General features: G+C 57.4%; 3 protein-coding genes across 4 annotated transcripts, besides 4 other annotated features; 2 read left to right on the forward strand and 1 right to left on the reverse strand.

Moving 5' to 3' along the window:
- The first annotated feature begins 1,667 nt into the window (after nt 1-1,667).
- CTSW (cathepsin W) lies at nt 1,668-5,572 on the forward strand. The gene is made up of 10 exons (NM_001335.4): nt 1,668-1,772; nt 2,033-2,117; nt 3,238-3,351; nt 4,006-4,160; nt 4,261-4,357; nt 4,440-4,520; nt 4,610-4,735; nt 4,900-4,964; nt 5,046-5,255; nt 5,339-5,572. The coding sequence occupies exons 1-10, from the start codon at nt 1,686-1,688 to the stop codon at nt 5,447-5,449; spliced, it is 1,131 nt and encodes a 376-aa protein (NP_001326.3). The 5' UTR covers nt 1,668-1,685; the 3' UTR covers nt 5,450-5,572.
- On the reverse strand, nt 5,571-10,302 carry FIBP (FGF1 intracellular binding protein). Of its 2 annotated transcripts, none has more exons than NM_004214.5 (10): nt 10,165-10,302; nt 9,765-9,963; nt 9,431-9,557; nt 8,153-8,253; nt 7,361-7,494; nt 6,909-7,017; nt 6,766-6,829; nt 6,401-6,487; nt 6,223-6,320; nt 5,571-5,874 (listed from the first exon to the last, which is right to left on the reverse strand). In NM_004214.5, the coding sequence occupies exons 1-10, from the start codon at nt 10,247-10,249 to the stop codon at nt 5,805-5,807; spliced, it is 1,074 nt and encodes a 357-aa protein (NP_004205.2). In that variant the 5' UTR covers nt 10,250-10,302; the 3' UTR covers nt 5,571-5,804. The 2 variants fall into 2 exon arrangements, with proteins under 2 accessions (NP_004205.2, NP_942600.1); NM_198897.2 differs by having other exon boundaries at nt 7,340-7,494.
- Nucleotides 6,918-6,977: an enhancer, noted in NCBI's record as "active region_5017". NCBI's record gives its function as "activates an Ori minimal core promoter by ATAC-STARR-seq in GM12878 lymphoblastoid cells {active_cell/tissue: GM12878}" and the evidence as "EXISTENCE:reporter gene assay evidence [ECO:0000049][PMID:35858748]".
- Nucleotides 10,203-10,272: an enhancer, noted in NCBI's record as "active region_5018". NCBI's record gives its function as "activates an Ori minimal core promoter by ATAC-STARR-seq in GM12878 lymphoblastoid cells {active_cell/tissue: GM12878}" and the evidence as "EXISTENCE:reporter gene assay evidence [ECO:0000049][PMID:35858748]".
- Nucleotides 10,393-10,532: a silencer, noted in NCBI's record as "silent region_3564". NCBI's record gives its function as "represses an Ori minimal core promoter by ATAC-STARR-seq in GM12878 lymphoblastoid cells {active_cell/tissue: GM12878}" and the evidence as "EXISTENCE:reporter gene assay evidence [ECO:0000049][PMID:35858748]".
- Nucleotides 12,295-12,774: a silencer, noted in NCBI's record as "silent region_3565". NCBI's record gives its function as "represses an Ori minimal core promoter by ATAC-STARR-seq in GM12878 lymphoblastoid cells {active_cell/tissue: GM12878}" and the evidence as "EXISTENCE:reporter gene assay evidence [ECO:0000049][PMID:35858748]".
- On the forward strand, nt 12,504-13,466 carry CCDC85B (coiled-coil domain containing 85B). Its single transcript, NM_006848.3, has one exon. The coding sequence runs from the start codon at nt 12,615-12,617 to the stop codon at nt 13,221-13,223; it is 609 nt and encodes a 202-aa protein (NP_006839.2). The 5' UTR covers nt 12,504-12,614; the 3' UTR covers nt 13,224-13,466.

A 13,633-nucleotide genomic window follows, 5' to 3' on the forward strand; every position in this document is an offset into this window, starting at 1 on the left:
TCCCACCCCATGGAACCCTAGAAAGCCAGCTCTTCACACCCTTCTCTGGTCTTGGTCACCAGTTCTCAGCCTGAACTCCTATAGGGGAGGTCCCCAGCCCAAGGACCCACTTAGAACAAAGGCAGCAGTAACGGGTGTTAATGCTGCTGCCCAGCCCTTGACCTCACAAGTCAGGCTTTGGCCTCCCTCCGTCTGTGATGCTCACCCTGTTATCCTTCTGGCTCTTCAGCCCCCTCATCCTCATCCCTAGACCGTGGGAGGGATGAGGAACGGGAGGCACTGGCTGCAGTTGCTGCTCCCGGACTCTGACTCTGCGCTTTCCTGTTTTGTTTTGTTTTTTGAGATGGAGTTTCACTTTTGTTGCCCAGGCTGGAGTGTAATGGTGCGATCTCGGCTCACTGCAACCTCCACCTCTCAGGTTCAAGTGATTCTTGTGCCTCAGCCTCCCGAGTAACTGGGATTATAGGCGCCCGCCACCATGCCCAGCTGCTTTTTTGTATTTTTAGTAGAGACAGGGTTTCACCATGTTGGCCAGGCTGGTCTCCAACTCCTGACCTCAGGTGATCCACCCGCCTCGGCCTCCCAAAGTGCTGGGATTACAAGCGTGAGCCACCGTGCCTGGCCTGGTTTTGTTTTTTTGACACAGGATCTTGGACCCACGCTGGAGTGCAGAGGCATGATCATAGCTCACTGCAGCCTTAATCTTCCAGGCTCAAGCAATCCCACTGGCCTCAGCCTCCCCAGTAGCTGGGACTACAGGAGAGCACCACCATGCTTGGCTAACTTTTTTTTTTTTAAGTAGAGATGAAGCCTTGCTCAGTTGTCCAAGTTTGTCTCCAACTCCTGAGCTCAAATGATTCTCCTACCTTGGCCTCCCAAAGTGATGAGATTACAGGCATGAGCCATTATGCCCGGCCTGCTTTCCTGTTTAAAACTCATGATGATCAATTGTTCAGTCAACAAACACCTAGCGAGCCTGACTCATGCCTAGCCCTATCCTGGGAACCGAGGACACCGAGGACACAAGCGAACTGAACACTTCTGGTGTGGTTGGAGGCAGATGCCCAATGGGCACAGGTGCAGCTGGGCTGAAGGGGCTGCAAAGCTTCTACCAGAGGTTGGGGAAGCAGGGAAGGCTTCTTGAAAGAGGCGGCCATTGAGCTGACTGAGCTTCATAGGATGAGCAAGAGTGGTTCCCTTGGCTGGGCGCAGTGGCTCATGCCTGTTATCCCAGCACTTTGGGAGGCTGAGGCAGGTGGATCACCTGAGGTCAGGAGTTGGAGACCAGCCTGACCAACATGGTGAAATGCTGTCTCTACTGAAAATACAAAAAATTCGCTGGGCATGGTGGTGCATGCCTGTAGTCCCAGCTAGTCGGGAGGCTGAGGCAGGAGAATTGCTTGAACCCGGGAGGTGGAGGTTGCAGTGAGCCGAGATCATGCCACTGCACTCCAACCTGGGTGGAAAAAAAAAAGAAAGAAAGAAAGAAAGAAAAAGGGGTGGGATGGGGAGCAGACAGGCAGGGACTGAAAGCCTGAAGGCCTGAGCAACTTGTGGGTTCTAGGGGTCCACCCTCCACCCACCAAGCCTGTCTTCCCCTTCGTGGTTTCTCCAGCCCCACCCTCACACCGTCCTCCTCGATCTGCGCGGCTTCCTGCCTCCATGCCACTCCAGACTGCACCGGCATGGCACTGACTGCCCACCCCTCCTGCCTCCTGGCCCTGTTGGTGGCAGGCCTAGCCCAAGGCATCAGAGGCCCCCTTAGGGCCCAGGTAAGTGCTCCCAAACCCTTACCTATGCCAGTCCCACGCCTGGGGTCACCCCTTCAGAAACAGCTGGCCTGTCATTCTCATTTTTCAGAGGGAGTTGCTGAGGCTGGAGAGGGGGCTGACGTGCCCAAGGGCACATGGGAAGACAGAAAAGGCTAACTGGCTGACCCCTAGCCCAGTCCTTGCACGGCTGGGAACTAAGGTGGGGCCCCAGCAATGATTCCTCTGCCCACTGCCCCTCTCCACCCTTGGTTCCTTGCCAGGACCTAGGTCCCCAGCCGCTAGAGCTGAAAGAGGCCTTCAAGTTGTTCCAGATCCAGTTCAACCGGAGTTACCTGAGCCCAGAAGGTATCACAGGGCACATACATCTCCAGTCCAAGCCCCCACTTTTTTTTTTTTTGAGACGGAGTTTCACTCTTGTTGACCAGGCTGGAGTGCAATGGTGTCATCTTGGCTCACTGCAACCTCCACCTCCCGGGTTCAAGCGATTCTCCTGCTTCAGCCTCTGAGTAGCTGGGATTACAGGCATGCGCCACCACACTTGGCTAACCTTTACATTTTTAGTAGAGATGGGGTTTGACCATGTTGGCCAGGCTGGTCTTGAACTCCTGACATCAGGTGATCCGCCTGCCTCGGCCTCCCAAAGGGCTGGGATTACAGGTGTAAGCCACGGAGCCCAGCCATCCCGCTTTGTAATAGATGAAGAAATCGAAGCTCAGGGTGGGGAACAGGCATGGCCAAGGCCACTCAGCAGGACAGGCCAGGGCTGGGGGTGTGTTCCCTGGTTTCCCGAAGGCATGAGTGGGTCCAGGATCATTCTTTGCTATGGATCTGGAGGGCAGTGGCAGGAGGTGGGGTCCTGCCCTAGTCCTACGTGATCCCCTGGCTCCACAGCCACTTCCCTGCGATTCTAGGCAGTGGACAGGGGGCCACCACCTAGTCATTTGCTCATTCAGCAAACACCCAAGGACACCCATTTTGTCCCCACATTGGGGACTTCTTCTCTAGCCCATGATCTAACCCCTGCCCCTGCCCTCTCGCTGTGCTGATCTCTCTAGGGGGCTGATCTGTGTGTGCCTTTTAGCCCAGACTGCCTGTGCCTTGTCATCTCCTCTCCCTGCCATGTTCCAGCTCTCCTCCTGTGGTCAGAGGTGTAAAGGACGTGGCCTGGCAGGAAGCTGGTCTCCAGCCACACATCCTTGAGTCACCACCACCGGACCCCTTGCCTGGCTTCCCACCTAGGGTGGCCAGAGATGGTCCTCTGGCTGCCTCTGGGGAAAACCCAACCCTCGGTGGGCTGGGTAACCACTTCCTGGGCCTGGGTATCTGCAGTGGGGCCTTGTGGGGGCTACAGGAAAGGAGCCAGTGCTCAACTGGGTGGGTGTGGGTGGAAGGGTGCCCAGCCAGCGGCTACTTCCTGCCCCTAAGGGCTTGGGAGTCAGCCTAGGACAACTCCCTTTTGGTCCAGAGCATGCTCACCGCCTGGACATCTTTGCCCACAACCTGGCCCAGGCTCAGAGGCTGCAGGAGGAGGACTTGGGCACAGCTGAGTTTGGGGTGACTCCATTCAGTGACCTCACAGGTACCATTAACCCTTCTGGCTCGTAGGTGGTGGTTGGGAAGCGATCTCCCCAGGGACACTGGCAGCTGGACCCAGCGGACCTTCAATTTTTACTTCCCAGGGAAGGAAATTCATTTCCCTGAGGACCAGGGGCTTGGGTGCTGGTATCAAATCACCCAGTGCAGGGGCAGAATCTCTGCAGTCCTGTGTCCTAATCCAGCCTAGGGGCCAGCGCAGCAGCTGCAGGGAAGCACCCAGCAGGGAGCCCAGCCTCTCTAGGCTTGGCACCCTTGCCTTTTTGAGACAGGGTCTTGCTCTGTTGTCCAGGCTGCAGTACAATAGTGCAATCACAGCTCACTCAGCCTCCACCTCCTAGACTCAAGCAATTCCCCCGACCCCTCAGCCTTCTAAGTAGCTGGGGCTACAAGCCCGCACAACCACGCCCAGCTAATTTTTCTACTTTTTGTGGAGATGGGGTCTCGGACTCCTGACCTCAAGTGATCCACCCACCTTGGCCTCCCAAAGTGCTGGGATTATAGGTGTGAGCCACCACGCCCGGCCTATCCTTGCCTTTTTGCCCCTCAGGGAATTATGGGACCAACAGCTGGAGTGGGAGAGGCAGAACAGGGAGAAGGGGTCAAAATGGAGACCTCAGTGGCCCTGTCTGTTCCCCAGAGGAGGAGTTTGGCCAGCTCTATGGCTATCGGAGGGCAGCTGGAGGGGTCCCCAGCATGGGCAGAGAAATAAGGTCTGAAGAGCCAGAGGAGTCAGTACCTTTCAGCTGTGACTGGCGGAAGGTGGCCAGCGCCATCTCACCCATCAAGGACCAGGTATCTGCCGCTACCCAGCTGGCTCTAATTCAGCTAAGTGGTGGGAGGGAGAGGGGCACGGCCCGAACACCTAGCCCCGCCCCACCCTCTCGCCCTCCAGAAAAACTGCAACTGCTGCTGGGCCATGGCAGCGGCAGGCAACATAGAGACCCTGTGGCGCATCAGTTTCTGGGATTTTGTGGATGTCTCCGTGCAGGGTAGGGTTGGGAGAGGGTGCGCGTGTGACAGGGGAGGGAGGCCTAGGGGCCTGGTCACCCACACTGTCCCTTCTTGCACCAGAACTGCTGGACTGTGGCCGCTGTGGGGATGGCTGCCACGGTGGCTTCGTCTGGGACGCGTTCATAACTGTCCTCAACAACAGTGAGTGCACTGCCCCGCCACTCTGGACATCTGCAGGGGGACAGGGTGGGCAGGAGCGGAACCTCCTCCCTTGTCTTGCTTATCTGCAGGCGGCCTGGCCAGTGAAAAGGACTACCCGTTCCAGGGCAAAGTCAGAGCCCACAGGTGCCACCCCAAGAAGTACCAGAAGGTGGCCTGGATCCAGGACTTCATCATGCTGCAGAACAACGAGCACAGTGCGGGCAGGGCAGGGACACGGGCGGATGGCAGGGACAGACACCGGGGCAGAGGCAGACACGCTGGGCTACTGGGCTAGAAGACAAGAGGGGGTGGGGGGAGCGAAGGAGCGAGAGACCCACACACCCACATGCCAAGGGTCTGATGATGTTCCTGTCCCCAGGAATTGCGCAGTACCTGGCCACTTATGGCCCCATCACCGTGACCATCAACATGAAGCCCCTTCAGGTGAGATGGGGGAGCTGATGGGGAAGGGGCATACAGGAGACTTGGCCCCACACTCAGCCCCTCGGCCCCCACCCCCTGCAGCTATACCGGAAAGGTGTGATCAAGGCCACACCCACCACCTGTGACCCCCAGCTTGTGGACCACTCTGTCCTGCTGGTGGGTTTTGGCAGCGTCAAGTCAGAGGAGGGGATATGGGCAGAGACAGTCTCATCGCAGTCTCAGCCTCAGCCTCCACACCCCACCCCATACTGGATCCTGAAGAACTCCTGGGGGGCCCAATGGGGAGAGAAGGTGAGTGTGATCTATTGGGGGAGGGGGCAAGGCAGAACAGGCCTCTTCCCACCTTCCCGCCCCTATGTCCCCTAACCTCCTAGGGCTATTTCCGGCTGCACCGAGGGAGCAATACCTGTGGCATCACCAAGTTCCCGCTCACTGCCCGTGTGCAGAAACCGGATATGAAGCCCCGAGTCTCCTGCCCTCCCTGAACCCACCTGGCCCCCTCAGCTCTGTCCTGTTAGGCCAACTGCCTCCTTGCCAGCCCCACCCCCAGGTTTTTGCCCATCCTCCCAATCTCAATACAGCCTGAATAAACCAAGACAAGACCTCTGGCTTGTGAGCAGACTCTTCTGGTGGATGGGCTGAGCACAGACACCATTCCCTGAGATATGTCTCAGTTCCCAAGGAGCCACTGTACACATCCATCCTTGTACACGGACACCAGGTGCTCAGAGACAGACACAGGCACATCTGCACGCCCCCCACTTGCTCCCCGGAGCGAGGACCAGTCTCCAAACTCAGAGCAACTTTATTGTCAGCGTGGGCGGAGCGTTGGGAGGCACCTCAGTCATGATACAGGCGCAGGAGGCAGCCGCGGAGGGTGCCCATGTAGCGGTCCCAGAGGGCCTGGTGTCTGTAAGAACATGAACAGTGACAGCTGAGTTTTCACAACACTCACCGTGATGGAGGCCCTGCCCTGCGTGCTTTCTACACCTTCATTCATTTTGCCCTTAGAAAATCCTTACAATTCTTCTCATGATGAACCCTAGTTTGTACATGAGGAAACTGAGGCATGGAGAGGTTAAGAAACCTGCCCCAAATCACACAGCTTCTAAGAGGGAGAGCCAGAGCTTTGGTCCAGAGACTTTGGTCCCACCCCCAGGGTAGCAGAATGGGGAACCTTGAGTCTGCAGGAGGCGAGGTCCTGGCAGGTGGCAGGCTGGGGCAAAGCCAAGCTGGACAGGAGGACAGGGCTGCTCACCGGAAGCCATCGAGGGAGTGGACAGACGCTGAATACTGATTCAGGAAGAACCGCACGTCGCTGAGTGGCCAGTGGTCGGAGCGGCAGGGTTCCACAAACTGCGGGCCCAAGAGAATACTTAGCACTTGTATAGGCCAGGGACAGACCAGGTTGGGTGTCAGAGAGCACGACAGCTCACCTTCTCCACGAGGTCCACAAACAGGTCTCTGACATCTTTATTGTGGGTCAGCTTGGCGGCCACGTTCACCAGCCCCCGGGACAGGTTCTGTGGGGCAGGGATCCTTGGAGCTCTGCTTTCTGCCCCAGAAGTTGGCAGCTGAGCACAGAAGCTGGGGGAGGAGGAGCAGGCCCCTCCCCAGATCCATCCACCTCCCTCCATCAACCAAGTCCCCATTGTTTATGAGCTGCTCCCGTCAGCGGCCACCAGAGGGAGCAGCAGTGCCACCTGCCGGCCAATCCCTGGCAGGGGCAGAGCTGCCCGGTAGGGGTGGCGAACTGGAGGCTGAAGATGCCAAGGGTCAGAGGCTGGATGGGACCACAGACCTTGAAGTTGGCTTCCATCTCAGAGAAGACGCCCAGCTTTCCCCGGAGAGCAGTGCACACCAGGCTGCAGAGAGACAGGGTCACGCCTATAGCCACCTGGGCCCCTACTGCAGGCCCCGCCCCATGGGCCCCTACAAGGTCACCTCTTGTGCAGGTCCAGAAGGTCCTTGTCAGCCACTAGCACCTTGAGCTCCTTCAAGTCCTGGAGAAATTCCTTGTCTAAGTCCATGTCCATGTCATCCATCTGTGAGTCTGTGAGGCCATGAAGGGGGTGGGGGTGGGTGATAAAAACCCCTCCTGTGATAGCCTAAGCCTTTCCTCACCCACCACCTTATTTCCCCCCTGGGGACAAAAGAGGAAATGGAGTGTCAGAGAGATGGAGTGACATGCCCCAGGCCACAGAGAGGCAATGGGCCCTTTGTCTGCAGACAAGGTGTGTGTGGGGAAAACATTCTATGGGCAGGGGGAGCCTGGGTGGGGGCCATGAACAGGAGCGGATGCCAGGAACTGAGGGCCTGTGGGAGAAACTACTGGTGGGGAATCAGGTCCTGAGGATGGGGAGGCGTCCAGGCACCTGGGTCAGTGGGGGCCTCACCGACGGCTCCAAGGGTCCAGTTTTGGATCATGAGCTCAGCGCAGAAGGCAAAGTCACCGAAGCTCAGATACTGCAGTTTTTTCTTCCCTGTCTCAAAGCGGTTGTTAGCAAAGAAGACGATGGCTGCATAGTCCCTGCACAGACGAGAGGAGGGTCCTCTTAGGGCTTGAAATTCCTTCTTAGGAAGCAGCTCCCACCTGCAACCTCAGCTGGGTGTCCGAGTTCTGGCCTCTCTCTGCCTCAAGTCACTGTGTGACGTGTCTCAAGTCACTTCTCTATGACCCTTCCCCATCTGTGCGAAGAGAAGGTTCCAGCTCAAGTTTACTAGTGGATACAGTGGGAGACCATAAGGGTAACAGTTACTATCTACTGAGCACTTCCTAAGTGCCAGGGCTGTGCCATGGGCTTTACATATGGTACCTCTCAACAGCCCAGCTGGAAATCGCTGGACTGTGCTTTGAATCCAGGTCAGTCTGGTCCAAAGTACAGACCAAGCTGGGTGCGGTGGCTCAAGCCTGTAATCCCAGCTACTCGGGAGGCTGAGGCAGAATTGCTTGAACCAGGAGGCAGAGGTTGCAGTGAGCCAAGATTGCACCATTGCATTCCAGCCTGGGCAACAAGAGTGAAACTCCGTCTCATTAAAAAAAAAAAAAAAAAAAAAGTACAGACCAAAAGTGGGATAATCATTCCCCCAGCATACTCAGGAGGTCAGAAGGTTTGGGGTAGGGAAGGTGGACGAGCCTCCGGGCCCAGGAAGTAGTGTGCGGGATGGGGAGGTGGCTAGCTCCTCACCTGGCCAACCGGTCAGAGAGGAGGAAGTGTTGCTGAATATTGTCCACCAGGGAGCCCCGCATTTCCTCTACCACCTTGAAGACCCGTTTAAAGTTGTCAAACTGCAGGGCAGTTAGGGTAGAAGAGAGGACTGGTCAGAGTGTACACTGTGTCGCTCACCCAATAAACCACTTATTGAACATCTCTCCCTTCCCCATCCACCTATCCAGTCAGCAGATGCTGATTTAGCATTTGTTATTCCTTCAACCAACTATTAGTTATTAGTACTTGTTATCAAATCAAATGCTTAGCAACTCCTGCTGTATCTTGCCTTGGATAAATGTTTACTCAATCTTATCTCTAAATCCAACCCCATTTTAGCACCATGCTCTCCAGATCTTCACAAGTTTGAGTTGGAAGAGACTTTCCTGGCTAAGCCCTAGAAACTAAAAAATAAAAAACAAATGCTAAGCTATAAACAGAAAGCTCACAGGAGATACAAAAGAAAGGCATCAAAGACCCAGAAGGGTTACTTCTTCCTGGCGTACCAAAAAGGCTTGTGGAGAAGGTGGCATCTCACCTCTTGTCTTGGATTTCAAGGGGTAGATATTGCCAAGAACAGTACCCTCCAGGTAGAAGCAACATGAGTAAAGGAAAGCCTGGGGCTGGAGAAATGTAAGCCTAGAGAGGTCTGCAGGGATGAGATAACAGGACAGTCCATAGGTCAAAGCCAAGGAGTGCAGCTGCTACCCAGGAGGCAGTGGGAGCCAATGAAAGTTTATCAGGGGTCTGATAAAATTTCAGGTCATTCTGAAAGGTCACTCTGGCCATACAGTACAGGATAGCTTGGAAGGCACAACAGGGAGCCAGGCACGGTGGCTCACGCCTGTAATGTCAGCACTTTGGGAGGCCGAGGCGGATGATCACTTGAGGCCAGGAGTTCAAGACAAGCCTGGCCAACATGGTGAAACCCTGTCTCTACTAACAATACAAAAATTAGCTGGGTGTGGGAGCGGGCGCCTGTAATCTCAGCTACTGCAGAGGCTGAGGCACAAGAATTACCTGAACCCAGGAGGCGGAGGTTGCAGTGAGCTGAGGTCGCGCCACTGCACTCCAGCTTGGGCCACAGAGCAAGACTCCATCTCGAAAAAAAAAAAAAAAAAGGAGGGGAAAGGGGAAGGGAGGAGAAGACTAGGTATGAAGCTGCTGCCACAATCAGAGGCTGGAACTGGGCCAGTGGCCAAAGGGAGGGAGTGAAGTGTAGATGGGATGCTGTGTCCGTGTGGATGCAGTGCATACCTGTCTCCGGCAGCTCTTGAGGGTGATGCCTGTTTTGGTGCTGATGTCATCCAGGTCTTTCTTGGTGCCTTTGGACAGCTTCTTGCCCAGCACCTCCCGAACAAAGGCCTCATCAAAGGCATAGTACCTTGTGGAGTCAGAGAACACCATTGACCCTCCATAAAAGACAGGAAAGGGAGTCTGGCGGGGCCTAGCAGGGCCTAGGTCTGACCCCTTCCACTCTCAACTTTCTGATGGCTGGGTAAATCCCATCCCTCCCTGGGCCTGTTTCAGCCGGCAAAATGGGTATACAGTCAGACTGGTTGATGTCTCCACCATCCCAGAGGGTGAGCACCTCTCGATGAGTAGTGCCTGCCGGGAGGGCGGAATCTGGAAGATGAGCTGGTGCAGTAGCTTGGGCGGCGCATGCAGCAGCCGCTCGAGCATGTGGAAGGTGCGGTAATGGTCCATGGTGTCGCTCTGCAGCACCGCTGCCGTGGCGCCAGTCTGCTCCAGGATTCCCGAGCGCACCCGCAGGGCCACCGCGTCGGTCACTGGAAAGCGGACGCTAGCATCAGGCCCCGCCCCGCCGACGCCAGAGGCCCTTAAGGGTTTCCATCCCAGACCCCTATAACACCTCTTATTCCCAGGCGCTCGCCCACTTCCCTAAAGGATGCCCAAGTCTTAGCCCCGCCCCCTCTCCCATTCAACACAACCGCTCCGCCGACTGGCTTCCCCACACGCCCCTCACGGACCCGAGTAACCATCGAGCCAGAGGCGATACACGTCCTCGTCGATAAGGGTCGTGTTCCCCACGAAGATGTCCAGCTCACTGGTCATGGCGACGCCCGGGGCCGCAGCGCCCCGAGCAGGAGCGAGCACTGCTCGGGACTGGCGCGCCGCCTTCAGGCCACTTCCGGGAGCGCCGAGATTCCGCTCGCGGCATCGGGACCCAGCTTATGACCACTTCCGGGACACAGCCAGTCGGGGAGGGGACGGGGCGGGAGCGGCGAGGGAAGAGAGGGGGAGGCCTGCGCGGAGGAGCACCGCTTCCTCCCGCCGGGAGGGGGAGTCCCGGGCTCCTGCGTCCTGTCTCCCTCCCCGGCCGTCTGCAGGAGCACGAAGGGAGTGCCTCCTCTTCGTCTCCTCGGTCCCCGTAACTTCTCCCCTCACTTCCTCCTGGCTTTTCTCCCACCTTCTCTGCCCTCTTCGGGACCTCCTAAGTTTGACCTGTATCCTAAACTTAGGGGTTTCACAGGGCTCTATCCTAAATCTCCGCAAAAATGGGGTATGACCCGACTTCCTCGGGCTCTTGCTGGAGACTGGTTTGTCCATCCTGCGCATGAGCACCTCTCCTGGGTTTGGGGCACCTGCTCCCACCTTGGTTTTAATCCCACCCCCAGCCCCACGAGCTACTGACGTCTCTAATTCTGCCCCTCCGAGCTCTGCCTGGAAGTCCACATCCGGAGGGGCCGCCTATCGGCCAAGTCTATCCACACTCTTCCCGTAAGCCCCTCAAAAGCTCAACATATTCTAGACAGACCTCTGCCTCTCCCCATTTGTTTCTTTCCTGCGTCCCTATCTCAGTGACAGCCCTAACATCCACCAGTTCTCATACGAGAAACCTGGGCGTTCTTCCAGACTCCTCTCTCCCCACATTCAGTTCGGCTGATTTGCCTCCCGAATATTTCTAGTATCTGTTTGTCCTCTCCACCCCCACTGATGCTGCCCCAGCCGTCTTTCTGCTTAGCTCTCCTTGCTCTTGCTCTTTGACACCGTTACTAATCTCCCTGTTTATGTCCCCTCCCCGCAGGGTCCGGCCCACACAGATCAGCCCAATCTTTTTAAATACATTTTTTTTTTCGAGACAGCGTCTCGCTCTGTCGCCCAGGCTGGAGTGCAGTGGCGCGATCTCGGCTCACTGCAACCTCCGCCTCCCGGGTTCAAGCAGTTCTCTGCCTCAGCCTCCCGAGTAGCTGAGATTACAGGCTCCTCCCACCACGCCCGGCTAATTTTTGTATTTTTAGTAGAAACGGGGTTTCACCATCTTGGCCAGTTAAAGGCATATTTTAAAATGTTACTCCCTTGCTTAACATCCTTACAAATGTTACTCTCTTGCTTAACATCCTTAGTGGCCTTTGGAAATGCTCCAACCTGGTACTGGAAGTTCTTAAGAATCTGGCTTTTACCTACCTTTGAAGCCTCGCTCTCTCTCTCTTAGCATTTTCTCGACACATCTGCTTTTCAAAAACCAAGCTATCCTCATTGTTCCTAAAGCAGCTAGGCTCTTTCGGGCACCAGTGTCTTTCACTATGTTATTCTCTCTCCCTGAAATAGCTCTTTACTTGGCAAAGTCCTATGGATCTACCAGAGCCTCTTGGATAGCATCTCTTTTGGGAACCCTCTTAAGGACCCTCAGACCATACTCCTCCCGGATTTATTTCTTGCTTAACACAGCTTGACTTCCCGGACAGACTGCGACCTCCTTGAGGATGGAATCGGTATTTTGGTTAAATTTATTTCTGCATGGGCCTTGCACATAAAAAACGTTTATTGAACAAACGAATCCTGTATGTTCCTCCCCCCAGGCAGGAAACGCTCCCTGGGAGGGAGGGTAGTCTATTGGTGAGCTAGGACGTTTGGACTCAGGGTTCCGAGGAACCAGGAGCGATCCTTAGTGGGCCGAGACTTCCGAATTTGATCAAAGGTAAAGAGGGACTGGAGAGCGGTCCATCTGACTTCTGTGGGGGATGGGCAGGAGTCAGGGGCGGACGCCTGAATCTTGTTTCTCAGAAGAGCCGAGAGGCCTAGGCTCAAGCTTGGGGCGATCCGGTACTTGGAGGTTCGAAGCTCCTAGTTTCGGGTTGAGACCGATGTGGAGGGCGATGACGCGCGGGTTCCTTGACATCGAGGATCAGTAACACCCGGAGTGGGTGGGGAACGAGGGGGGCGGCCCCTGAGCTCAGGCCCCGCCCCTTTCCGGGGACGTTTCACCGGATTGGCTGTCCTTCCATAACGACATGCGGCCCCGCCCCGGCGCGCGCCCCGCCGCGTGCCCAGCCCGGGTAGCTGCTGCAGCCTACGCTGCCTCGGCCACTGCCTGCCGCGTGCGGAGCCGGAGCCCGAGCCTGAGTGGCGCCGGGCCCGACGTGGGGCTCCTGGGCCGCGGCGGCGGGCGGGCGATGCTCCAGAGGCCTGACCAGCCATGGAGGCCGAGGCAGGCGGCCTGGAGGAGCTGACGGACGAGGAGATGGCGGCGCTAGGCAAGGAAGAGCTAGTGCGGCGCCTGCGGCGGGAGGAGGCGGCGCGCCTGGCGGCACTGGTGCAGCGCGGCCGCCTCATGCAGGAGGTGAATCGGCAGCTGCAGGGCCACCTGGGCGAGATCCGCGAGCTCAAGCAGCTCAACCGGCGTCTGCAGGCAGAGAACCGTGAGCTGCGCGACCTCTGCTGCTTCCTGGACTCGGAGCGCCAGCGCGGGCGGCGCGCCGCACGCCAGTGGCAGCTCTTCGGGACCCAAGCATCCCGGGCCGTGCGCGAGGACCTGGGCGGCTGTTGGCAGAAGCTGGCCGAGCTGGAGGGCCGCCAGGAGGAGCTGCTGCGGGAGAACCTAGCGCTTAAGGAGCTCTGCCTGGCGCTGGGCGAAGAATGGGGCCCCCGCGGCGGCCCCAGCGGCGCCGGGGGATCAGGAGCCGGGCCAGCACCCGAGCTTGCCTTGCCCCCGTGCGGGCCCCGCGACCTAGGCGATGGAAGCTCCAGCACTGGCAGCGTGGGCAGTCCGGATCAGTTGCCCCTGGCCTGTTCCCCCGATGATTGAAGGCACTGCTTCCTCCACGCCGACGCCCGCCCGGATTGCTCCCCGAGCCCCGGGACCGCTGTGGACCTCGGGACCTGGACGCCGTCCTGGCTGCGCAGGAGGGGCCGCTGGCATGGACTAAGAAATCCTGACACCAAGAAGGGCCCCTCGCTCTTGCTGGCAGGGCAGCAGGGGGACTGAAGGCTGGAGCGGAGGGACTTGCTGGGGGTTGGATTGGGGGTAATAAACCCGGACGGAAGCGGAGCCCACGGCCTGGGCAGCGTCTGTTTGGTACTCGCCGGGGTTGGGGCGAGGGTGGGGTGCTGATACAGGGTACAATTCCCATCCAGAAGGACTGCAGAACTAATGATTCCCCCATTACTTCGAGCCTGGGGTGGGATGCGGGGCAGTGGTAAACCAGACTTCCCCCA

The sequence above is a fragment of the Homo sapiens genome, chromosome 11 (genome assembly GCF_000001405.40).
Source record: "Homo sapiens chromosome 11, GRCh38.p14 Primary Assembly".
NCBI classification, from domain to species: domain Eukaryota; kingdom Metazoa; phylum Chordata; class Mammalia; order Primates; family Hominidae; genus Homo; species Homo sapiens.

What these genes read in the sequence shown, in the direction of transcription:
- CTSW (NM_001335.4), top strand. Translation starts at nt 1,686, where the DNA reads ATGGCACTGACTGCCCACCCCTCCTGCCTCCTGGCCCTGTTGGTGGCA. An exon ending in TCCATTCAGTGACCTCACAG is followed by an intron (nt 3,352 to 4,005) that starts GTACCATTAACC and finishes TCTGTTCCCCAG; the next exon opens with AGGAGGAGTTTGGCCAGCTC. An exon ending in GGGCCCAATGGGGAGAGAAG is followed by an intron (nt 5,256 to 5,338) that starts GTGAGTGTGATC and finishes CTAACCTCCTAG; the next exon opens with GGCTATTTCCGGCTGCACCG.
- FIBP (NM_198897.2), bottom strand. Translation starts at nt 10,249, where the DNA reads ATGACCAGTGAGCTGGACATCTTCGTGGGGAACACGACCCTTATCGAC. An exon ending in CAGGCACTACTCATCGAGAG is followed by an intron (nt 9,558 to 9,764) that starts GTGCTCACCCTC and finishes TGACTCCACAAG; the next exon opens with GTACTATGCCTTTGATGAGG. An exon ending in AGATGGAAGCCAACTTCAAG is followed by an intron (nt 6,488 to 6,765) that starts GTCTGTGGTCCC and finishes CCTGCCCCACAG; the next exon opens with AACCTGTCCCGGGGGCTGGT.
- CCDC85B (NM_006848.3), top strand. Translation starts at nt 12,615, where the DNA reads ATGGAGGCCGAGGCAGGCGGCCTGGAGGAGCTGACGGACGAGGAGATG.